The 27,381-nt window shown below is 37.4% G+C and overlaps 1 annotated feature.

Annotated features, from left to right (window-relative positions):
* Nucleotides 13,751-14,481: an enhancer, noted in NCBI's record as "NANOG-H3K27ac hESC enhancer chrX:30211612-30212342 (GRCh37/hg19 assembly coordinates)". NCBI's record gives its function as "activates a minimal SCP1, AML or CMV promoter by ChIP-STARR-seq in naive H9 embryonic stem cells {active_cell/tissue: H9 hESC(naive)}" and the evidence as "EXISTENCE:reporter gene assay evidence [ECO:0000049][PMID:30033119]".

Consider the following 27,381-nt stretch of genomic DNA (forward strand, 5'->3'; position numbering starts at 1 on the left):
GTCCGTGTGACCTGATTCTTCCTGGATGTCGGACAAGGACCCAGGTACCAAGAGGACAGGGTGTAAAAGGCTGTCATCCTGATTCTCCACTGAGATGGTTAACACTTAGCCATTTGGGAACAGCAACTGCTAACAGAGAATTAACTGTAACACACTCATCTGGGAACAGCAACTGCTAAAAGAGCATTAACTGTAACACACCCCTAGACACTGTCATTGGGCTGGAGCCCAAAAGCGCTCACCCCGGCTCCTGCACCTGTCCATCTGTGTGCCCTCCCTCCCATAAGGCGGCCAAGCAAACAAGCTACACCCCTGTCACAAACCCTGCGAGGGGGTGAGGGAACTCTCCCATCTCAAAAATATATGGAACAACAGCTTTCAGACATTGTAAAACAGGAAGCACAGCAAAGTGATCTCTGAGAGAAGAGAAATAAATGAGGTAGTCCAAATTCACTGCCTGGAGAGAACTTCATGGACACAGTGCAGGGAAGGAGAACTCAAACACAGCTTGTTTTCTCCCTGAGTTGAAGAGACAGAATAAAAAATCAGAAGAGGTCAAGATAGCTAGAATTTGCAGGATAGAGTAACAGAGAGAAAAGCACTGGAAAAGAGAGAGCTCCAGAGATCTAAAAAGCACATCCCTCCAGCCTCTATTTAAGAACTGGTGAGCACATGTATATGAGGAACTACCCAAGGCCAGGGAAAGAACCATATAAGAAGTGAATGGGTGAAACAATCCTCAGAGCTCACACAGGGCCTGAAATAGTTCATGTGCCCACCACTGGGGTGGAAAAACTTATTATTCCCAGCACATTAGGTAGAAGACTCAAGATACCCTAGTAACTTAGTAGTGGGAAAAAAATTAGTCCCAGACTCAACATTGTTCCGGTTCTAACAAAGCTTAAAAACAAACCTTAGAAGAATGATACTCTCTTGAAACACTTTACTTGTGTTCCAGGAAAAAAACAAACCTTAAAAATATTTCTAAGAATACAAAAATATCCAGTTCCCAAGAAGGTAATCATAACATCTGGCATCCAGTAAAAAATTACTAGGCATGTGAAGAATCAGAATAACTTGGCTCATACTGAGCAGAAAAATCAATTAATAGAAACAAAAGCAGAAATGACACAGAAGGAATTAGTAGACAAGGACATTACAATGGTTAAATTAACCATATTCCATATATTTAAGAAAAGAGAGAAAACATTGGCCTATAAAGGAGAGCAATGAAATATATTTTCTAAAGATCACAATTGAACAAATAGAGATTTAAAAAATTCTGAGATAAAAAATACACTGAATGGAATTAACAACAGATTTATGCACTTACTGCCAAACAAAAGATTTGTGATCCTGAAAATAGCAAAAGAAACTATCCAAAATTAAACACAGAGAGGAGAAACACTGAAAAAAAAATTAAGCATTAGTGAGCTATAGACAACTGCAAGTAGCCAGATATATGTCTAATTAGAGTTCCCAAAGGATAGGAGAAGGGGTTGGGGAAACATTTTTTTTAAGTAATGGCAAAATTTTCTCCAATTTGTTTTTTAAAAAACTATAAACCTCAGACCCAAGGATCTCAATAAGAGACAAGACGGACAAGAAATATAGAAACACTAAGCAACATCATAATCAAATTGTTCAAAACACGAAATGGAGATAAAATTTTGAAAGCAGCAAGGGAAAAAAGACCCATTATGTACAGATGAACAAAGAATAATGAGAATTCTCATAAAAACAGTGCAAGCCAGAAGATAGTGGAGCCAGGTCTTTAGAAACCCAAAAGAGAAACAAAAAGTCAACAATTGTGGGGGTGGAATGAGACAGGCTGACTCTTACCCTAAGGGTTTCAATTCAATACAGAAAGAACATCTAGTATAATTTTCAACAAAGATGGACACAAAAGTTTCTTTTCTTGTCCCCTTTTCCTTATGTATTTGTTAAAAAAAAAAAAGTTCAAGTTAGCCTATACTGATAAATACCTAGAACAATGGGAAATTCAGTACTGCGTTTATCTCTCTGGATTCCCATGTTCCCTTAGAATTTTTGTGTGGTAATTTTGTATTCTCTTGACAGCACTTTGGTGTATTTCATTCATTTTCAGTGGGAGGATGGTCCAACCTAGCATCTCCATATTCTGGCAAAGGAATCAGTAATTTTCGGGGTCACTCTCCATTTCATTACAAAATATTTTACACATTTTATCATTTAAAGTCCAAAGATTATAAAATTACTGACATTCATAATATCAAAAAAACAGAAAAAATTGATACAAAAGCACAATATATGGAAAACGAAGTGATACAGGTGTACTCTTCATTCCTTTGTAATGTAGAACTACATTCTACATGGTCCCTCAACAACTTCATCTACAGTGTGTGGGTAGGACAATCTGAATGTGGAAAGGGCACGCTACTGATCATAAAATTAAAACTTCATAAAGCTTAATTTACTCCTCATTGTAAGTTAAAAATAAACTTTAATCGAATTTATACTAATTTCCATGGATCATATTATTGAAAGTTGTCAACATGAAACTGTGTTTTTGAAATCAAAAGTGGTTAAATATTGGCAATCACATGTGGTTCAACTTAATCCTATTTTGAAGGCCAATGATATGACCAAAAGAGCATAAAATTGGGAGGCAAAACTTTGATCTCACCATTTAGGTATCCTTGGAGCTTTGAGATATTAATTTGCATCTCTAAAACTCTGGAGTGTTGGGAGATTTAAACAATAGGACTTTCTTAAAATGTTTACCAAATTCTGGCACAGCAGGAAATTGGTAGAGCACAATGGTTAAGATGGTTATCCTAGGAATCAGCCAACTGTGAGATCAAACCCTGATTCTATTGTCTACTAGATGTGTCACTTCGAGAAAATTCCATAAACATTCTGTGCCTCAGTTTCCTCATCCATAAAATAGGAATAATAACAATACCTACACGTTAGTGTTGCAATAAAGATTTAATGCATATACTTATAAAATGCTTAGAAAAGTGCCTAGCACATGATAAGCAAACAGGTATTCACTTTTTATTATAGCAGAAATTCATTAAAAAATTGGCAGCTTTCCTTTGCCTTGTTCAAGTGGACACAATCAAGAAATGCAAACAGGAGCAAAACGAATGAACTAGAATCCAACAACATTATGGTAAGGAACAGACATCTGGAACCCTAATCATGATAGACTAAATATTCATATTTATAAGAAGGCAAAAGAATATAATGGTAACAATTATGTGTGAATGTAGGAAATGGTCATGCAGAAGAGTAGAAGCTACCTTATACACCTCCACTTGCATCAAATGGAAAGTCAAACAGCTGCTTTAGCTACTTAGAGTTTTTCAGTAATGCAATTCACTTTGGCAATATAGAAATTTGGTGCACTGAATTGTTGAAATCCTCTGTTCTTTCTCCACATGGCTTCCGCTCCAAGGAAAATGTGGCATAAGGAGCTCACAGCTAGAGTTACTATCAAAAGCTAGGCAAGCAGAGAAATATTTATGCCACTATAGCATGCTGCAATTATGGAACCCAATAGCACCCTTAGGCCAAATGTTAAATCCTACAGTTTGAAATGTTTGGCCCAACTTTGTCTTAGACCACACAGATTTTGTAGTTTCATAGCCTCACTCAGAGATCCCCAGACTTTCTTGATTCATGGTGCTCTTAGATTTTCAGTAATTTTTTCATGGCTCCCTAAGTCAAAAGAAATACCTAATCGCTGTTTCTTAAGTAGTTGAGTCATAACTACTTAAATAAGTATTTTATATCCTAGCAATTTAGCCGTTTGAAAGACAGCACTCATAAATCTTTTAAAAATTATTTTTACAATTACTTACCAATGGGATATATGTGTCTGTTGGTCACTGCACAGATTCGCAAACTTTGGAATCAGATTGGACACTGTTACCTTCATTTCCTGTTTCACATTGATTTTTGGACAGCAGCTGCTTTTTATCAAGACTGCCAGAAGGCCAGCTTTGCAAAAATATGACATCATCAAAGAGAATGTAACTCACTCTACGTCTCACAGATGTCACTGAGTTTTCCTCGAAATTTTAAGTTATTCCATGGTACTTCTGCAAGTTCACTGTGTTACTCCAGGACACCTTAGCACACAGCTTGGGGACCAGGGATTTATATCATTTCCTATATATTTGAAGCTATTTGAAATAGCTATCCATTATGTACAGACTGCTTTGTATGGGTCTATCACTTTCCACCTTTCAGGGAGTTTTTGTTGAGAAGTAGGCTGGATGATGAATTTGTTTAAGTAAATGTAAAGGGCTACATCATCATAAAATATTTATTGAGATTTCATTCTATGTAAAGGGAATTGAGGGAGGAAAAAGTAATTATGTAATCCTCAAGAAGTTTAGTGTGTTTGGCTACATTGTTTATACGTATGTGATCAGAATATGTCATTTCTTCATTGAACTTTGTTAATATCTCCCCTGTATTTCTGATATATAGTCTTTCACACTTTGAGTTCCTTTTCTTATTTCTGCTAATCCCTTATCTCTTTCTGATACCATTATCTTTGACTCCCTGCTCACCATCCTCAAGTATAATCATCTCACCACCACTCTAATAAGCTCTGTGATTCCCAACTCCATATCTTTACCCATGGTGTTTTCTGTCCCATGGAATAAATTTCTCCCCATTCTTCACATATCACACTCTCATTCATCCCTCTATCCAAGCTCAAATATCTGTCTTAGTGAAATTTTTCCCTATCCTTACTCGGACCACTTTTCTCTTTCAGGAAAAATTACACATCATCTCCTGTCTCATCTCATAATATTCAGTATGTATGCCTACGTTTCTCTCAGTGTTCTATAAGAGAATAATTAGTAGGATGGAGGAATAGATGGATGACTAGATGGAGATAGATAGACAATCATACATGGGATTTCTGAAAGGGATTTGACTTTTCACAATCATCAGGAGAACTGTTTAAAGAGTCTGTGTGGAGCAGTTATTTCTGTGTCTGGTATTGAAGCTTGAAGCCTGAAGAAAAGTCATTCAAAATATATTGGGGGAGGATATTAGGGGAAATAAGAACAAACTGGAATACACAAAGCTGAGCTAGAACTCGTGGCAACTTACCAGAGCTTAGGTTGATCTCTCACCACTTCAATCTTCCAAGTTCCACAACAGGAGTGTCCTGCAGGAAAATCTGCTGTCCAGAACCATAAAGCTAAAGATTCATCTAGCCAGAGAGAGAAGCTGAAGGAGAAGTTGGAAAGGCTCTTGGTCCAGCTGGTACCCCACACCAACCCTGAAAGCTCACAGAAAAGTTTATGTGATTGCTTCGTATGGGTCTCATGCGCTACACTGACTTTTAAAGCATGAAATAAAGATGGTAGCTGCTCCACTTCTACCTCCCAAATCTCACAGAATATGTCTCTTGTGACTCACATTAACCTGGACCTATGCAGAGAAGGAAGTTCTGGGAAACATAGTTCCAATTTGGCTAAGGTAACAAACACAAATCCACCACAGCCTTTAAGAGCACTGGTCCCACTGTCAGTTGTTTAGGTGCCAGCCTTTGCCACAAGAATATGTGCTCCTTAAGAGTATGGACCACATCTTACTCACAATGATATGGACAGGAGGCAGGGAAATACTGGGTAGAAAAGGGCAGGGTCCCTGGCGAGGGTTCCACCCTCAAGCCTGGACCTGTGGTCCTAAATGAGAACTTCACTTCCCCATTTTCCCACCTGAATGTTGCCTTTTGGCCCACCATGCTCCCATCCTGTGCCCGTAAAAACCCCAAGCTCCACTGGCAGAGCAGCAGACTGGTGTGGCGTAGCAGGACAGCACATGGAAGAGAGAAGCAGTTGAACATTGAGAGGAAAAGAAGCAGCTGGATAGTGGAAACTACGGTCAGAGAGGAGTTTGGATATGAACTCTGGACAGTACAGAGAAGAAGCAGCTGGACATCGAAGACTATGGTTGGAGAGGAGTTTGGCCCTAAATGACAGTCCATCCCCAGCCGAACTCCAGAGGAGGACCACCTTCCCACTTTCCCTTTCCAGCTCCCCAACCTACTGAGAGCCACTTCCACCATTCAACAAAATCTCTGCATTCACCATCCTTGAAATCCATGTGACTCATTCCTCTTGGGCACTGAACAGGGACCTGGATGCAGGTGCAAGAGGCTGTCACACTGACTATCCACTGAGCTGTTTAACATTTACACCATCCGCAGATGGCCAAGCTAAAAGAGCACACTGTAATACACGCCCTCTGGAGCTCCAGAGGTTGCAGGCAACCCTTAGACGCTGCCACAGGCCAGTACAGGGTTCATTCCTGCCGGTGCCCAAAGGCACTCACCCCGGCCCCTGCACCAGCTCACCTGCAGGCTCTCCCCCACAAGGGGTTTGAGCGCTGCAGACTGAGTAAGCAAGCCACCCCTTCACAAGTCCCATGAAGGGGCCGAGGGAACTATCCCATCTCAATAATATATTCCTACTGCTTCATACAAAATCTGACATATAATAAGGACTCACAGATGTTTGTCAAATGATGAATGAATGAACAAACAAATGAAGGAATGAATGGAAAAAGATTATTAACACCATTAGTACATTATAAGTACTAAATATTTGGTCATATAACAAAGTAATAAGCAGAAAGAATCTCCTGTTTTTTTCCAAAGGCAAAAAATTAACATATTTTCTATAGACTAATCCCCTTAAGATGAGGTGAAACTATTTAAACCTATCAAAATTTTATCATGTGTATAGAACTTTCAAATGTACAAATTGTGTTTATAAAAGCTAACTAATTTGACTACTTATTACTTAGTTAAATATAACGGAGTCATCACTTTTCTGGACAAGTATGAAAGCAAAAATATTTTTTAATAAGATTCAATTAAATTATAAAAATAAAAATAAATGTTGACATTATATACCAATTTTTCATTAAATTTCTTTATATTTATATAAATTATATTTCTGAACACACTAGCTGATAACTAACTGAAGACAAATATTGCCAACATGTCTTTGGTTTCATTTCTATTTATCACAACTTGTTCTAAAATTAATTCAATCCTACATCCTCTATTTCAGCTGTTTGGCCTACTTTAAGCCTCAAAGGATCACTATCATGATTATCCCATAATTTTCAGTCTCCAAAGGCATCATTATCGATAACCTCACCTACCTGTAATCACAACATTAACATTACAGTAGGACAGAGCCCCAACTCTATATAGAACTGCATCCTTCATAGAGAAGCTTTAAGAAAAGGCAGCCAAAGTAAACTTATTCTGATCCTTCTTCTCATGGCAGCAGAATTGACACCTTGCCCTGCATAATTATGGTCACAAATAGTCCTCAGAATATATGTAACCTTTCACTTTTCCTAAATGTTATTAATTTCCTACAAAACAAAATAAAAACAAAAATTACACAATAACAAAACACTTGATCCTTCACATTTGTCAAAATGCGGAAGTATGTGAAAACTTTTACATACATGGCAGTAATATGAGAAAATTTAATTTTACTCTAAACAGACTAACTGTACCCTTAGTAAACATGGTTTCATTTCTATTTGAAATCATGGAAGCATTCTTTATTTACCTAAAAGCCTGTTGGATTACCCTTTATTTCACCATCCTGGGGATGTTACAAACCCTGTTTTATTTTTAATTTGATTACTCAGTCCTTCTAAAGCCTGAACACTTTTTTCAAAAATTCTTTACAAGTAAACTCATTTTCTAAAAGTTTTGACTCTGAGTCTTTAAATAACAAGAGGAAACTAAAATTTAATAAGTGACAACTATGGCATGCACATAGGTTACAAGGCAGTCATTCTTATTCTCGTTTATAGGTGAGAACGTTTAGGATCATAAATGCTAAATATCTCTTTAAGACTGAACAGCTAATTAATTACAAAGCCATCATTTTAACTCAGGATTATAACCAGTTAAAACGACAAAGCTTGTGTTCCCTTGTATGTCCCAATCTACCATTGCTATACAAGAGTTTAAGGATTCAAGATGAATGTTAGAGAGACATATCAATTTCTTGCCAGGCATTTTGCATTAACCTTAGACACAGTCATCATTTATTCATTATTTGATTAAACAAATATTTATTGAGTTCCTAATATGTACCAGTCACTGCTCAAGATGCTAAAGACATAGTGATGAACAAGACAAAGACCTTATTAAGCTTCCATTCTAGTGGGAAAAACAGATATAAGCACAGAAATGGAAATGGTGTCGGGTAACTAAAGAAAAATATCACAAAGTCAAAGGAGGAAGGGCAATAGAAGTGTGGAGGGTCAAATCGGGGTTCACAAAGAAGAATGGGCTACGGAGGTGCTGATAAGTATTAATACAGTTCCAATAATTAATCTTCTCTCATTATAGCAAACTAAAATAAAAGTATTCCAAATAATGTTCTCATCTGTGCTCAGTTGCTTTAAAAACAGAAATTAATAGGAGTTACTATAAAATAATCATTGAGAAAGACTAGAAAAGAGCAAGATTTTAGAGTAATAATAATAATAATAAGTCTTTCAAGAATTGCATTGACCTGACAGTATTCTCCCTCTAGTATCAACTTGGATCATACTTAAGTGTAGGAACTCTGGCCTTCCAAGTTTAGAGATCATCACTCCAGCTTTACAGCTGTCTTTCCCATTGATCCTGACCTAAAATATGACTCCCTTTAAAAATAATTTTAAGACACTTTCTTTCTACTTTTGTTTCAAATGACAGACTCCTAAAGAGTCATATTTTTTTTCCTTTTTTCTGTCCTTAACAGTCTTAATGTTAACACACAGAATCACATATGAATTAAACATTATTTTCATCATGAGTAGGTTTTAAAAGGATCAGCAAGAGAAAAAAATATAACACTGACACTGTAGTGGAAATGAGATTGAGGATTATTCCTATTTTAATGTTGTTTACCAAGAAGGCAATACAGCAAAGTGATCAGAACTCAAATATTTGAGTTCTAGAGTCAAATTACCTGTGTTCAAATCCCAGCTCTCTTGGTAACTTGCTGTAAGATGGAGGCAAATTACTAGACCTTTTGGGTTCCTCATATGTGAAAGGGTATCATGATTGTACATGCCTCATATGTTCATTCTAGAGATTGAATGAGATAAAATGTGGTATTCTTAGTGCAGCACAAGGCACTTAAAAACACACTACGGATATACATTATGGGATGTTATTTTCACCATTTGTGAATAGGTAGGTTTAAGGACAAAAGATATTATTTCCCACTTCATCTGGAAGTTTTTTTGTATATTTCAAGGCACATCTTTAACATCACCTTTCCTGTCAAGCTTTGCATGGTCCCCCAGGTATCCTCTTCTTGTGCTCCCATAGCAATTTGTTCCTAATTCTGTGTTCGAATTGTAATGCGGTGCAGGCAACTCTCTTTGCAGTTGCAACTAAATCAATTGTCTTAAGTGAAGCTTCCTGGATGCAAATCCTAAGATAAATCTTCAGGTGCCACTGATTTCCTTCAGAAGTGCTCCCAGGAGAAACTGGACAAGGGAATGGGGACAGCAGGAAAGAGAAGGCCAAAGGTGTGATTTCAGGTAAAGACCCACTCTGAGCCTGATCCCATGGAGAGCTGTGGAGCACCCATTACACCTCAGAGTTTGTACATTACACCTACAAGGTGAGGAAGCTGAGCTTTCATACTGCCCCATCTGTCAGTCATTGGCTACGGGGGTGAGGTAGGGCATCAACTCCCAGGCATTCCAATTCTCTGCATGAAATGCTTTGAAGAAGGTCATAGGTGAGAGACATTAAAGATGAAGCACACAGAAGATGGGCCATGGGGACACACAAGTAAAGGAGGGGAGGGAGAATCTGGGTGTAGCACCAACAGTGTCTGACACATAGTCCTTTCTTAAGGAACCCTTACTATTTTAATGACCTTATTTCCAGCTCCCCTACACAGCCCTAGTACTTCTGGTTCCTGGCTCAATGCCAAGAGGGGTTGGCCTTGGAAGTCCCTTGCTATAGTAAATAGCATTCAGACTTAGAGAGGTAATCAGAGTACCTTCTGGTGTCAGCCTGGAATAATGCTGACATGCCCTGAAGGGACCTCTGATGGCTAACATCCCTTCTGCTGCTGCCTGCACAGCTGCTATGGGCTGGAGTTGTTGCCAGAGAGTACCACAATCCTTGGGCAGATACTTTGCCACCCCTCCTGCCCCACTCCAGTATCTTTCCAACTTCTACAGTTGACTTCATGTTGCCGGCTGCCTCTTACGATCTACTATCGCTTACACAGGCTTATAAATCTTACTTCCTTCAGCTCCTAACTACAGACACCTAGAGGGCCACTTGTCTATACTCTTGTTTGAAAACTCACTACCCAATGCTTCTGCCTAAATCGTAATCTCCATTCCACTCTAGTGGTTCCATTCAGGAAGAAGAAATTGCCTTTGTCCCTTTCAATTAAAAATTTAAAAGCTCTGTCTCCTTCTCTAATGTTCTTGCCATTCCACATGGAGTTGCATCATCAATATATTAGAGTACCAAAATCTTTCACCCATGCCTTTTGTTTCACAGTTGGAATCTATCTCAGACTATTCTTATTGTAAGAAAACATTCCAGAATTGAAAAACTTCTGTTTAAAATTCATCAGTATTTATATGCAACATATCTGTATTTTAATGAAATTGTGTATAATATGCAGGATTCAATGACATTTTCCCATCATATCATCATTCTCTATTATAAAATTAGAGACTCTCTCTGATAGTATATAAGAAAGAATCTGTTCCATGATAGAATTTTTTTTAATTTTTATAAATTTAAGGGATACAAGTGCAGTTTTGTTCATTTGTTACATAGATAGATGATGGAAATGTATTACGCAATTTAAAAATGCTAAAAACGGAAGTCTTATATGAAACTTTTGCTTCAATCCAGATTCCATAGTCATAACTGAGTACCCATGGATAAATTGATAGATTTAGATAGATAAGTGGATAGATGATTTTTATAATGTCTCTTTTTCTCCTTTGTTGATCATTTGGAATGGGAATGAAACATGATAAAGAAACCAGAACTGCCCTTAAGGCACTGTAATCCAGTATGAAAGACAAACATGAAAAGGAATGATTATAACACAATGCTAAAAGTGCTATTTTTAAAAAGCAAGGGCAAGAGATAAGAGCACCAAATATTGGCAACATCTGTCTTGAATTTTACACCCTGCTCTGTTCAATTAGTGAACGAATGTCTAACCCTGACTCAGCTCAGTCCAACCAGGCTGAGTTAGATTATTCCTTCTTGCGACCCCCTTAGAATTCATCACATAATTTTATATTTCTGTATTTGTCTCCCTCACTAACTAGACTCTGAACTTCTTGAATATAGGACTTTGCCTGGTCACCTTTGTATTCAAAGCATCAATTTTAATTTTTGGCACATTGTTGGTCTTCAATAAATGTTTGTTAAGTAAATAAATGAATAAATGAGTGAGCTGAACCATGGATGGAGAAGGAAGAATTTCATTGAAGTCTTTATGTAGAAATTTATGTAGAAATTTATATTTAAGCTACTATGGACTGCATATTGTCCAGTTCTGAAACTCCAAGTGAAGTTGAGAGTATAGCCTAATGTCATAGGCTGGCCCTATCTTTGTTTTCTTATTGTAAGCTCCGGAGTTTGCAGATTCGAAAAACCTGTCTCCATACACCATGCTAAAACTCTTTAGCGGCAGACAACAGCTGAATATTTCAAAACAACTTGCAAGATGTACTCGAAAGAACTGGATATTTCCTCTGTCAAGAAAATGGGCTTGTAAATGCTTGTTGGGTCCAATTCTGGTAATGTTCAGTTTTTTTAAATCATCGATAAGGTTATTTGCCATCCTTACAGTGTCATTAGATAACTGCTGCCTCTGCCTTTTTCAAGCAATTATGGTGAGTTTTAAAATCAAGTATCAGTGCAAGGGTGCAACTCTCCTGATTTCTCTATCGCAGCTTGACTTCTTTTCTTAGTACTTTTGAATCCATTTTTATGTGATTCTTGATGGGCTTTCTAAAGATTATTTGAGAATAAGAGTGTTCTACTGCTGACTTTCAGATACTCAAATATTTTTCTCCTTTTTGAAATACAGTCTAAAAATTCTGGCTGCATGTTAGAATTAAGTCTAATAACTTAAGCAGCCCCATCATAGGGGTTAGCTACACAGATAATCATCCTATCCTGCTAAGTTTGATGAACTATATTTTCCCCAAATTCCTCTTTATTCTGTTCTAGAAAAGTGTTAGTTTAGAAGACAGATGCCTTCCTGAAATTTTTGCTTAATGACTCTAAAGGGAAAATTTAGGATGAAAACTGCCAGATAACTCTTCTTTTTCCTCCAAAATAATCAAGATGTGAGTTCCAAAAGTCTGGGGGCTCAATACTCTCAACTGAAGATAAAACCTGTCTTGTGTCCATTTGTAAAAAATAACTCCTTGGCAAGGTGTTTTGTCCCAGAAAGTCATTCCTAATAGACCCATACTGTACAATATCAAATGAAAAGTTCAGCTAGCTTGTCCTCTTCTCATTCTCCCTTCACTTCTCCGTCCTTCATCCCCTTCTCTCTTTACCTGTTATCTTGAGCACTATCCTTTGACCCGGTTGCCCTTTCCTGCCACTAAGCTCACTTTCTGTGAAGAAGCCTGTTTGACTTTCTTCAGTTCTTGTTTTGCAGAAAACTTTAAAATGTTCAAAAGAAACAATAGTCTAACTGTCCTAAGAAGCTAAATTTGATCATTCACCTGGTGAAAGTGACCTGCTGTGAGTGTATCCCAAGCTGCTAGGGCATATCCTATAAAAGAGAGTTCAAAGTTACTGGAAAAATAAGGAAAAATCCAAAACTTATACTGATAGACTAAGAGTTATCTAGGAGCAATTGGTGATCACACAGAGCTCTAAAATGCAATTAGCACCTGTCTTCTAAATACCTGGTAAGCATAAATTGAAATGTATATTTCAGAATCTGTAAAATGGCTTGGTACTTTTTTTGAATAGAAATATAATCATAAACATAGAAAAGAATTTATTATGTGACAATATTCTTTATTGGTGTTTTCGGTAGAAGCATAGCATACATGTTTTACTAAAAGGATCATTTAAACAATATTGTAGTCTAAGAAGATCATAGTATCATTTCATGATAGCAAAGGCCAGACCAAGGGAAGTGGAACTAGGTAGGACTCAGGACTCTTGATTCCTATTCCATGCTCTTTTCACTTTAAGAATTGAGTCAATGAATTTGCTTGCTATTGGCTAAATTTGGGGTTTTTACACTGAGATTGTTGGAAGGGATTTGCAGATCTTCTGTAGTTTCAAGTCAATTTCAGTATGTGTGCATTTTCCTCTGGGAGGAACATAGCTTTCAAAAGACACAGCCAGGTGCGGTGGCTCACACCTGTAATCCCAGCACTTTGGGAGGCTGAGCCAGGCGAATCACCTGAGGTCAGGAATTTGAGACCATCCTGACTAACATGGTGAAACCCCATCTCTACTGAAAATACAAAATTAGCCTGGCATGGTGGCACATGCCTGTAACCCCAGCTACTCAGGAGGCTGAGACAGGAGAATCATTTGAACCCGGGAGGTGGAGGTTGCAGTGAGCCGAGATTACGCCATTGCATTCCAGCCTGGGCAACAAGAGTGAAACTCCTTCTCAAAAAAAAAAAAAAAAAAAAAAAAGACACACAGAAGAGCCCATACCAACCCCAGCCCCCTTCAAATGAGGTATAAAAACTTTTAAACTAAATAAATGTTTGCTTTGTCTTAATAAAAAAAGTCATGGATAAGTGTTTTGAACACTCTATCCTTATTACTTCCCTCAGCTATCCACATATGAAGCTGGTCTAGCTTCAGTTCTTCTTATTAAACTTCTCTTTAAATACCAGCAAGCAGTTATTCATGAAGAAGGCAAAAGACCAGGGACTAAAAAAAAATGCTACACACTCTGATGTTACATAATTAATCTGTTAAGAGGTTGTCTTTCTTTTACATACTCCACCTATATATGTGGTTTCTATGTCCTCACCTATTGCCCCACTCACCTTCACCAACTTCTTACTGTAATGCCAAAAATCTAAATTATAAGTGTACTATATGTCAGGCCTCTGAGCCCAAGCTAAGCCATCATATCCCCTGTGACCTGCACGTATACATCCAGATGGCCTGAAGTAACTGAAGAATCACAAAAGAAGTGAAAATGGCCTGTTTCTGCCTTAACTGATGACATTACCTTGTGAAATTCCTTCTCCTGGCTCATCCTGGCTCAAAAGCTCCCCCACTGAGCAGGTCCCCCGCCCCTGCCCACCAGAGAACAACCCCCTTTGACTGTAATTTTCCACTACCTACCCAAATCTTATAAAACGGCCCCACCCCATCTCCCTTTCCTGACTCTTTTCAGACTCAGCCCACCTGCACCCAGGTGATTAAAAAGCTTTATTGCTCACACACAGCCTGTTTGGTGGTCTCTTCACATGGACGTTCGTGAAACTATATCATAACGCAGCTCCCTTAGGTGACTAAAGACCTCTTGGCGAAATCTTGGTAAAGGTTTTTGTTGTTTGCTATTTTTTATTTAACCATCTAAATTCCCTTACTATATGTTGTTCATTCTTGTAGAATGGTTACTTTTTTGACAATTTTCTTTTCTCAGCTAATACAACACTATTCTTGCTTCTGTTGCTCTGACTCCTGTTTCTTCTCCCATCTGTTGACTCCAGATATCCCAAAATGTTTAGTTCTTGACTGTCCTCATACACATAATATGTATATACATTCCCTCAAGGGTTTCATCCATTCATCCATTCCTCTCCATTGAGGAATCCCAAATCAGCCTCTCCAGCCTCTTTCCTTCCATCTTATATTTCCAACTAATCAGAGTGAAGGCCAGTTTATTATAGATTCCTCCATCAAACATAGTCCGTCTTCATATATCTTCAAAAGAAATGAATCTCTTGCCTACAAACAAAATCTCCCTTCTTACATTCCATGTGTCTGGCAACAGCACCAACTTTTCGCCGTCTCCAAATCAAGACATTCAAACTACTTTTTGACATTGTATTCTTTCTCATTGACAGTATCCAAGAACTATCCAAATCTCATTGTACTCCCCAATAGAAATCTTCTGCTTTCATTCTTAGTCAACAATTTTTTTAAAGAATCCACTAGGTGCCAGATGATTTGGTAGGTCTCTTAGGGGGAACCAAAATGAACAAAACTCTGTTTTAGCCCTCTAAGAAATTACTGTCTAACAAGGAATATGAAGCACGTTCATGCACAGCTATAATGCAAGACCTTAATAGCACTGGCAGTGCTACCCTTGGCTTCAGTCATGCATCAGTTATGCCTTGCTCCTATTGAATTTTGCCCAAATTCATACCCATCTGTAGAGTTTATTTTAGACTTTCTGTTTTGCACATCTTAATTTATTTATTTATTTTTACTTTTCTACACATAGCCCTTCCAACTCCACGACTTATTTGTTTTTCCCTCTCTTCTGGACCTATATGTAGAAAGATACGACTGCACGATCCTCTTAATGCAATGGAGGTTGGGTGTTTGTTTGTTTGTTTCGAGTTTTTACCTTTGGCAACTAGCATTAACCAGAGGATAACCTGGGCAATGCACTTTCTACCCCGAAAGCTGATTTCAACTAACGGGAACTCCCTTTCTCTAACTCTCTTTGCTTTTGAAAATCTGAGATCATTTACTGCTTCGGGGGGTCTCTGTTTTTCTCACTGGTTGAGGTCTGTTTTTTGCAGTTAGGATAAGAATGACCTTCTAGACCTTGTAAGGAACCTAAGTCACTTCTGAGTATCCTTCTCTTCTCACCTGGAACATTTTGGCCTGCTACAAGCTGTGACAAAGTAATCCTTAGGCCCAAATTAATAAAAAGGGCATGGCTGCACAATAAACAAATACTGGGTCCATAGCTTTGTAGCCCAGTGCAAGAAGGAAAACTGCCAAAACCTTAGCACCCATGCCTATTGATTTCCTACATTTTCAACATCCATATTCTACCTCACATATTTTAAATGAGCTCTGGGATCCCCTGAAATTCTTATGCTACTAACCATAAATATTTTATACAGCATCCCATCCTCTGTGTCAACTGCTATGTCACACAACTGAGTGGAAAGGGGACAACAAATTGCTCATGCCTAATTTTGGAGCTTTAGCCGATTTCAGTTCTCAGGGAAAAGGCTGCCAAAGCAAAAACCTATTCTTAAAACCAGGTATATTTGATTGTATTTCTTCCACCATTAATCCATGAAAGCATCATTTTCACATTCTGTTTTTAAAACAAGAAATCCATTTTATTTAACTCCTCTAAGATCTTATGAGAAACAAAGTGCTGAAACATGATTTTAGCTATTTGTAGGCTAAGCATATTTATAAATCATTTCTAAATAAAGAAGAAAAAAGAGAGGTAATAAGAGACACAGCCACATTCTTGGTTAAATCTTATTTTCTAACCCAAAAGATTATCCAATTAACTAATGAAACAAAGGTGGTAAATTTAATTGTCTACCTTTAAAAGTACTCCTTCTGATCTTTGTGTATGTGTGTGTGTATGTATATATGTGCTACTGCCTGATCTGCAATTTTATGTTTTATATATTGAGAAATCTTGCTTTCCAATTCTCTGTTTAGAAAACAGAATTCAACATCCCTTCAAATATTCATCCCTGTAACACTGAGGTGAGGTGGGGGGGGTGGGTGTGGATGGGTCACTGAGAATTATAAAGGTATAGTGACATCTACAGGCAGCAAGGATATTGTTAAATAGGATATGGTTACTATCAGCTGAGGAATGGACTAACAGACCTTCCTGCTTTACGTTTAAATGTGTCTTTCTCACAGAAACCAACAGGAAAGGTTAGACCAATTAAGCTGGAACAAATGACACAAGAGATCTTGCTAAAATTAAAATCCATGTAATAAATGGGGCTTTGTTTCACCTCGTTGATCTTCATTTTTGAAATGGGAATAGCAGTTTGGCAGCTCATTTTGAAAATCAATGTAAGTCATACATATATACTTGATGAAAGCGGTCACTTCAAATTCATGGAAATCACAGAGAAAGAATATGCCAATTAGAAATTCAGAAAGTCATTTTTGGCTTTTAGTGATAAAATGGACTCAAAATAAAACCTTTCTGGAGGTCTGATTCAGTATTTACAACTCATGCTAACATGTCAGAAGTTATTCTTGCATTTTCTTAATAGTAGGAGTGAGAAGAACAGTAACAGCAATCAGGGGGTGGATAATAACACATAATGAGATTAGGCTCATTGGTGTCTGTGATACTTAATTTTATGTGTCAGCTTGACTGGGGTCAGGGAAACCCACATAGCTGAGAAGACATTACTTCTGGGTGCATCTGTGAGGGTACTTCTAGAAGAGATTAGCATTTGAATTCCTAGATTAGGAAAAGAAGAACCACCCTTAGCAATGTGAGCAGGCACCATCCAATCTCTTGAAAGCCTGCATAGAACAAAAAAGGCAGAGGAAGGGCAATTTGTTTCTCTTCTGGAGTTGAGACATCCATCTTCTCCTGCCCTTGGACATTAAAGTTCCAGGTGCTAGAGCCTTCAGACTCGGATTTATACCAGCGGGCCCCACCCCGCACCCCTCCTGGAGCTGAATTACACCACCTGTTTTCCTGGTTCTCCAGCTTGCTGGGGGCATAACTTGAGACTTTTCAGCCTCCCTAATTTTGTGAGCCAATTCCCTTAACAAATCCTCTCTTTCTCTCTCTCTCTCTTATTGATTCTGTTTCTCTGGAGAACCTCAACTAATACGGTGTCCTTTATTTTGCTATCGGGGTAAAAACAAAACAAATCAAGAAAGAAAAAGACAAAATTTAAACTCCTGGTAGGTGAGATTATGCTTTATACTTCACTGTATTTCTCATGGTGGCTAGACATACTTAGTAAATAGTTGAATCAATTAGGAAAAAATAAATAGGCTGTAAACTTGATTTTAAAAACTTTTTATTCTAATGTCTATTGATACAGTAGAAAAGAATAGGAAGTTTAAGCACAATTGAGATTTAGCAGTCAAGCTGCTAAGACACCTTTATTACTACTGCCAAGTGCTATAAGATCTGCTTAAAGGTGGAAAAATCCAACTGCTTAATTAGTTCTTATTATTCCTTCCTTTGTTCTTTTTCTCCCACACCTTTCTCCCTCCAATATTTATTTAACATGCAAAAAATGTGTGAGTTTCCAGGGGGAACTGCTGCGATTACCTGACTAGAGGAATTTTACCCATAGCCCAATCAAGGTGGCTGGCTGCTAGATGAGCGCACCTCAACAGCAAGAGGCTATAGGATGTTCTGCTACATGGGTGCCTCTTCTAGTAGGGAAAAGCATAGTAGAAAGGTTTCTTAAAGACTCCCAAAGGACCTACATGTGTGTCTAATGAGTAGATCAGTGTGGCCACTGTCACACCCAGGGCATCTTCAGCCTGTCAGTATTAGTCAGAGCAACAGGAACATATCAGATAGAGGGTGAGGCTTTAAAGAGAGAGGGGGAGGCTGGGCGCAGTGTAATCCCAGCACTTTGGGAGGCCGAGGCAGGTGGATCACCTGAGGTCAGGAGTTCAAGACCAGCCTGACCAACATGGGGAAACCCCATCTCTACTAAAAATACAAAAAACTAGCCAGGCGTGGTGGTGCATGTCTGTAATCCCAGATACTTGGGAGGCTGAGGCAGGAGAATCGCTTGAACCCGGGAGGCGGAGGTTGCAGTGAACCAAGATGGCACCATTGCACTCCAGCCTGGGCAACAAGAGCAAAACTCCATCTCAAAATAAATAAACAAATAAATAAATAGAGAGAGGGGAAAGGGGTGTCTCAGAGTCAGACCCCACCTCATATCCCCCAGCTCCAACATAACAACAGTCAGGGCTACCTCTCAAGCATGACTTGAGGATAAGAAAAGAGATGAGATTAAAAACAACTTTGAAATTAAGGCTTTAATTTGAACTAAACTTTAATAGCCAAAAGTGGCCACAAAGCTATGAAATCTTCACCGGATCATATTGCTGGACTGGAAAAGGAAGATCTAACAGTCTGAGAGAAGACAGTAGTTGGAAGCACTGCAGCCATTTTATCTTTGATCCCACCGAGCTGAAACTTCTCAACAAATATAAATTTGAGGTGAACACATTCAGTCTATAGCAAGGATCTCTTGCCACGTTGTAAAAACTGTTTACACAATGGGGTAGAGAAGATGAGGCTAAAAAATGGTTTTCCATTCCATGCCAGAATGAGAGAATTATAATTTCAAATGTAAACAATTTTCATACTTCCATTGAATCTTGGTTGTCTGGTCATGATTAAGACTAAAGGAACTAAAAAACTGATTGGAAAGTCAGAGGCTCCACCCTTTGTCCCAATGCCAGAGACAGTTGATGCTGTTAATTCCTGAGTTTTTTGAGGATTTTCAAGGTAATTCAGCATGGCTTGAAAGTAAAAATATATTCTTCAAAAAACTGTGCAACTGGCTGACAGCCTAGAGCTCAACAGTATCAGACTTAAAGTTAATCAACAGCACATTAGAGAATATAGAAAGTAGTAAATATAATGCAAAGTTAAGCCTAAATAGAAAGAACGGCTGCATCTGAAAACCTCTTGCAAAAAAAAAATGGAATGAAAGGAAAAATAGATAAGTCCACTATTATAACTGGAAATTTTAACAGCCCTCTATCGGTAATTAGGAGATCCAGTAGGCAGGAAATTAGTAAGGCTGTGATTGAACTCAATCAATCAATCCATTGGCTCTAATTGACATCTACAGAATAATCGATCCAACAACAGCAGAATACATATTCTCAAGCTCAAATGCAACACTCACCAATATAGACCATATTCTGGGCCACAAAATAACCCTTAACAAATTTAAACAAATCAACATCATAAAAAGTATGTTGTCACACCACAGTGCTGTTATACTACAATTAAAATAGAAATCACTAACAGAAAAATAACTGGGAAAATCCTAAAATATTTAGAGATGAAACAACATACTTCTAAATAACACATGGGTCAAATGAAACATCTCAAGAGACATTTTAAAAAATTATTTTAATTAAATGGAAACAAAAGTAAAACCTATCAAAATTAGTGGAATACAACAGAAGCAGTGCTTAGAGGGAAATGTATAGCACTGAATGCATACATTAGAAAAGAGTAATAATCTAAAATCAAAAATCTAAGCTTCTACCTTAGGGAACTAGAAAAAGAAGAGCAAATTAAATCCAAAGTAAGAATAAGAAAATAAACAAATAATAAAACTCAGAGCAGAAATTATTAAAATTAAAACAGGAAAACAATAGAGAGAACCAATGAAACCAAAAGCTTTTACTTTGAAACTGACAAACCTCTAGCCAGGCTAACCAAAACACACACACACACACACACACACACACACACACACACACACACAACAGAGAAGACACAAAGTCCTAATATCCTAATATCAGAAATGAAAGAAGGATCACTACTGTTCACATGGACATGAAAAGGATAATAAAAGAATATTTTGAACAATTTTATGCCCACAAAATATGAATAAGCCTATTATCTACCAAAGAGAGTAAATCAATTAATAAACTTCCAAACATAAAGCACCAGTCTGCAGATGGCTTCACTAGTGACTTTGACCAAACATCCAAGGAACAGATGATAGTAGTTTTCTACAATCTCTTCCAAAAAATAGAAGCAGAGTGAATACCTCCTAACTCCTAACTCATTCTATAAGCTAGCATTACCCTAAAACAAAAGCAGGCAGACATTGCAAGAAAGAAAAACTGACCAGTATGTCTCATGAATGTAGGTGCAAAAATCCTCAGCGAAATATTAGCAAATCAAATCCAACAATACATTTAAAAAATTACACAACTTGGCAAGGCGCAGTGGCTTACGCTTGTAATCCCAGCACTTTGGGAGACCAAGGCGGGGATCACCTGAGGTCAGGAGTTCAAGACCAGGCTAGCCAACATGGCAAAACCCCGTCTCTACTAAAAATACAAAAAATTAGCCAGGCATGATGGTGTATACCTGTAGTCCCAGCTACTTGGGAAGCTGAGGCAGGAGAATCGCTTGAACCCGGGAGGCAGAGGTTTCAGTGAGCTGAGATTGCGCCACTGCACTCTAGCTTGGGTGACAGAGGGAGACTCTGTCTCAAAAAAATAAATAAATAAAAAATAAAAAAGTATACACCTTGACCTAGTGGGATTTATTCCAGATATACAAGGCTAGTTGATAATCAATTAATGCAATTCATTATACCAACAGTATAAAGACAAAAATATCATTCGAACATATCAATAGATGCAGAAAAAGCAGCTGACAAAATCCAACACCCATTCATGATAAAAATGCTCAGTAAATTAGAAATAGAGGGGAGGGATGAATAGGCAGAGGGGACACTTTTTGGGCAGTGAAACTATTCTGTATGATACTGTGGTTGTGGATACATGTCATTATGCCTTTGGTAAAACCGATAGAACTGTATAACACAAAGATGTTTTCTTATGTAAACTATGAACTTTAATTAAATGTAATATATCAATATTAGTTCATCAATTGTAATAAACATAGCACATCCATGCAAGATGTTAATAATAGGGGAAACTGTTGGGAATTCCTTATATAGGAACTCTTTGTACTTTCTGCTCAATTTCTCTGTAAATCTAAAAGCTCTCTAAGAAATAAAGTATACTGGCCTGGCGCGGGGGCTTACACCTGTAATTCCAGCACTTTGGGAGGCTGAGGCAGGCGGATCACCTGAGGTCGGGAGTTCGAGACCAGTCTGACCAACATGGAGAAACCCCGTCTCTACTAAAAATACAAAAAAAATTTAGCTGGGCGTGGTTGCACATGCCTGCAATCCCAGCTACTCAGGAGGCTGAGGCAGGAGAATCACTTGAACCTGGGAGGTGAAGGTTGTGGTGAGCCAAGATCGCACCACTGCACTCTAGCCTGGGCAACAAGAGCGAAACTCCATCTCAAAAAAAAAAATAAAATGAAAGAAAGTATATTAATTAAAAATAAATAAATATAAAGGTAATAGTTCCCATATAAGGAAAAAAAACCACATGTCTAAAGTAGTCTCCAGGACTGCAAGCCATGCATAATTAAGGATTTGGTAGCAGAATCATCTTCATTGTAACCAGCAAAGAGGATTGACCTTTGACTTTGTGGCATCTTTCAGAATCTGCCAAGGTGTTTCTGATCTGTCTCCCTTTGTTGTCCTATCCTCTAGGAAAGGCCTTCTTGCCTTTTTTTCCAAGACCAAGTGACACCTCCTCATTGAAAATTTTCCTAATCACCCCAGACAGTCTGAGATATCTCCCTGCACCCACTTGTTCTTATACTTATTTGTGAGGACTAGGCTCTGATTTTTTTTTATCTTGCCCAAATTCCTATCTAAGGGGTCTGGGGAGTCATGCCCTACAAACCATAAATTCTCATCAGATGGGTTTTATTTAACCCTGTATATCATGACTTACTTTCCAATCTGACTCTGGCATAACAAGGAAGAAAATCACAACATTTTACCCGAAAACATGTTTTTCTGTCATATCTTGAAATGGCGCTGCAAAGCCTTCCCTTGTGGGAAAAATCCACATTCCACAGAGAATCCCCTTTCCCCTTTGTTTTCCTTCCTTCCTTTCCAGATCCAGGAGATAATCAACTAAGAGCCAGGCACCCTTTTAGGTCCTATAAGAAACATTTTACAACCTTTTCTCTCTGAAGTCTGCTATTTGAGAGCTTCCTCTGCACAATAAAACTTGGTCTCTGCAATCTTTTATCTTAACCTGAACATTTCCTTTCTATTGATCCCAGGCCTTCAGATAAACTCAACCAACTGTCAACCAGAAAATGTTTAAATTTACCTATAGCCTGGAAGCATCCCCACCCGCTCTTTGAGTTGTCCCGCCTTTCTGAACCAAACCAATGTATTTCTTAAATGTATTTGATTGATGTCTCATGCCTCCCTAAAATAAATAAAACCAAGCCATACCCCAACCACCTTGGACACATGTTCTCAGGACCTCCTGAGGGCTGTGTCACGGGCCATGGTCACTCATATTTGGCTCAGAATAAATCTCTTAAGATATTTTACAGAGTTTGACTCTTTTCATCAACATTTACAATAAAGAATTTATTACTTTGTACCATTATTATCTATGTCTTATTTTCCCAGCAGCATATAAACTTATTGGTAATAGGACTCGGATATTTTTATAATATGTTCATTGCTTTACTAACATATAGTGTTAATTTAATAAATGTTTAGATGAATGTTGAATGAAGATGAACAAAAACAAAACCCTTTACATGTGCTCCATATTCTGAGGCACCTTTTTCTAGGAGTGATAGTCCATATATTTATCAGTCAGTGTGGCAGTATGGCCTAGGTACTGATAAGTCAGAACTTTTCTGTACCTTAGTATTCTCATTTATAAAATGGAGAGTTACATCATAGTTTATTGAAAACATTGGTATAGTTAACATTAATAAATTGCCCATATATTCAAAGCATTTAATTAAGACTTTTTATTAAAATACACTATGCAGTCATTGTGATATGTACATACTAAATAGCTTATTAGCCAGACAGTCAGCTCCTTAAAGGGCAAGATAATTATGCTTTTTGTACACTAGTATATCTATAACATAAATAGTCTGGCTCGTCAGAAGGAATCCAATATGTACTTATTAAAAGAATGGTAAATAATTGGAGGAAAGAAGGGAGGAAGGAAAGAAGGAAGGGAGGCAAGAAGGGAGGGAGGAATGATTTGTATAGATCAGCACTGTCCAAGAGAATTTTCTGCACTGTCCAATAGAATTTTCTGCACTGTCCAATAGAATTTTCTGCACTAATGGACATTTTCTATATCTGTGCTGTACAACATAAGAGCCACATATGACTATTGAACACTTCTAATGTGTGTGGTACAACTAAAGCATTGAATTTTTAATTTTATTTAACTTTTATTCATTTACTTTTTTTTTTTTTTTGAGATGGAGTCTTGCTCTGTCATCCACGCTGGAGTGCAGTGGTACAATCTCGACTCACTGCAACCTCCACCTCCCGGGTTCAAACGATTCTACTGCCTCGCCCTCCCAAGTAGCTGGGATTACAGGTGCACACCACCACACCTGGCTAATTTTTTGTATTTTAGTAGAGATGGGGATTCACCATGTTGCCCAGGCTGGTCTCAAACTCCTGAGCTCAGGAATCCACCCACCTTGGCCTCCCAAAATGCTGGGATTACAGGCGTGAGCCACTGCTCTGGGCCCTCATTTAAATTTAAATATTCAAATATGGCTAGTAGCTATTGTGTTGAACAGCATGGGTACACCTGTGTATACTTTTCTTAAGAAAATTTAATGTTTTTAAAAATCCATTGAGTAAGTCATTATTGAGGGTCTTCCACACTTAAAATACTATTTTGAATGCTCTGGATATTAGGGAACTAAAAGTCTGTGCTCCTTCTCTTGGAAATTTATTCAAAAAGAGATGAAAAATATGTATTGAATGATTAAGTAACGACTTAAAATGTAACTTTTACACATAACCTGCATGCACTGCTTTAAACTGCAATTAAAGCTATAAAGAAACTTATTTATAAGTATAAAAGTGGAAAGAGTTTAATAAATATAGGGAGATGTCTTAGAAAATGAATGAATAAAGAATGTTATATGTGACCCAAAACCTGTTTTTATTCTGACCTACCAAAAAATTCTAAATATTAACAATGCCTTAGCAGGTTTCAACTAACATTTTAAGCCAGTCTTAATTTTATTCACCCTGACACTATTTGGACAGTTTGAGATACGAATTTTAATAGATGTCCATAGCCAGCTAAAAATGGTCATTCCTGAAGAAAAGCTCTGCAGTTGAAAATGATCACTAAAAATTTTAATAACAGTGTCAGGATATCTATGGACTTCTTATTAACATGTTTGAATTTAATCAGAAAACACTTTTTTATATTCTAGGGGAACCTCAGTTTCCAAGTGTTTAACACTTGTTAATGAAGTGCTAACAAGACATCAGTGTGAGTAACAGTTTGGCTCCAAATTTGGCTTCTTATCAGAATCACCTGAGGCTTCTTTCTAAAAATCTAGATTTTAAGGCTTCTCTTGATTCAGGGGTTGAAATGGGCCTGGAAATCCGTATTCTTAATAAACTTCTGAAGTAATTTTTATTACCAGAGTGGGTAGAACCTGCTGCTTTTTAAGAACTCACAAGTCCTGTTATCTATTGCTGAGAGACAGAAAAGAATCCACCACTTCTCCAGCTCCCCACCGTTTTGTCCAATTCCAATTCTCCCATTTCCCACCCCATTCCCTCCAACACACATACAAGTAGATATTTTCCCTCCACCATTTGTGTGACTCTTTCTGGAGCATAATCCGTACTCCCAACATGGGAATGGACCCTGAATTTAACAAAGATCTTTGTATTACACTATAAAACAGAACTCCTTTCATTTCAATACCTATTTATTAATTTATATTTTAATCTTTTATGCATTTTGTCAATCATCTGATATTATTCTGGATTTTGGATACTCAGTGGTTCTTATCATTAAATAAACAGTGTTTTTTTACTCCTAGTTTGGACTACATTTTGTTTTTCAGATAGCTAACATCAATCAGGAACTTAAAGCCAGAGAAGCCTTAGACTTCAGTAAACATTTGATATAATCCACAGTTTAAGCATCCATCTCTGTAGATCACAAAACTAGATTTAGGCCTTTAGCTTTCAGTCAGAAATGTCACATCAAATCCAACATATTAAGTAAATATATAACATATATAGGCCACCTGGCCATTGTGTGCTTAATAGATATTAAAGTTTGGAGACAAATTTCATCCTACATTAGATGATCTCAGTCAACCACTGACAAAGACTGAAGTTCAAATTCTGATGGTGGATTTTTTGTTTCCTTTATTCTTGGTCTTTGAATATTTCATGTAATTTTTTGGCTATTTTCTCCCTAGGGTTTTTTCTTAAAAGAAAAATCATTGTCAACAGCTTAAGCAAAGCCCTACTGTAATCAAAGCAGTGTATATTCATTGGATGAAGAAAAGCAGGAAGGAATAATTTTAAAAGCAGCATTCTTTTCTTGGGGCTGAATTTCTTTACCCACCGGCAAACTGAAAAGAAATAACTAGGAGGTAGGATTCTGTCATTGTTCACTAGATGATTTGAGTACACCAAGCTGAGGTTTTTTTTTATTTTTCAGTCTTCCAAAATTGCCTAATAACAAACAAAAAAAATAACAAATCATCAAAAATTAAAAAAAAAACAATTTTATAGCAACGGATGTCTCTGAATGGTGGGGATTATATTGTTATTTTTGTTGATTTTGTTTGTGCTTTTCTTAATTTCCCACCTCTCTTCAATGATCATTTTAAACAACGAACATTAACATTTTTGAAGAGGCTTTTATTATGAAATAGAAATACCAGTTGGAAGAAATATAAGAATGATTCTGTAAAGCAAAACTGTCACTTTGAAAAACGAAAATCTGCTTAAACATTGAGTGAGATGTTTTTATTACATTCTGGGTTTCTTGCTCTATAATGAAAGAATGGTATGTGGTTGCATACAATCATAAAACTCAAATTTTCTGTCACTATCACTGGCTACTATCTGTTTTCAACTGAAAACACTTCTAGCAATGTCTCAAAGCCCTGCTCCAATTCTCTGATGAATAATTTTATAACATTTTAAAACTGTATACACATCCAAATATCATAGAGGGAAATATTAAAATATTAAAAGCCCATTGAAGAGGCATTGCCAAAATATACGCCAGAGGCATGGGTTTCAGAAATTGTTATATTTAATATGTTTATTAATTAGGTAGAACATGACTAAAACAATGTATTAATGACATTCATGAGTTTTGTTCCACTGGGAGATGTAGACACTAATGAATACTAAAATTACCCAGGAGACGCAATAAATATAGCTTTAAATATATTACTCATATGCTGTTGTTTTAAATGTCAGCCATCTTGAGTCATCACCTCATTTTCCTTGTATTTGATAATGCTTTAAAATACAGCATTTAAGAAAGTAACTTGACCAGATAAACACACTTCTAATTAAGTTCAAACCACAAGATAAAGGCTTGGTTTGTGTCATAGTTTTGCCTTGTAAATAGCTTTCATTTTCAAATTTATTTGAACTATGAAGAGAGAAATGGATGTATTTTGAACTGTATCCCTCTGGGCTTCTACAGGCATCTTTGGGTCATTGCTGGGAGTCCCTGTCTCCATTCCCTATCTTTGTCTGTCCCAGATGGATCTA

This window comes from Homo sapiens, chromosome X (assembly GCF_000001405.40).
Source record: "Homo sapiens chromosome X, GRCh38.p14 Primary Assembly".
NCBI classification, from domain to species: Eukaryota; Metazoa; Chordata; class Mammalia; order Primates; family Hominidae; genus Homo; species Homo sapiens.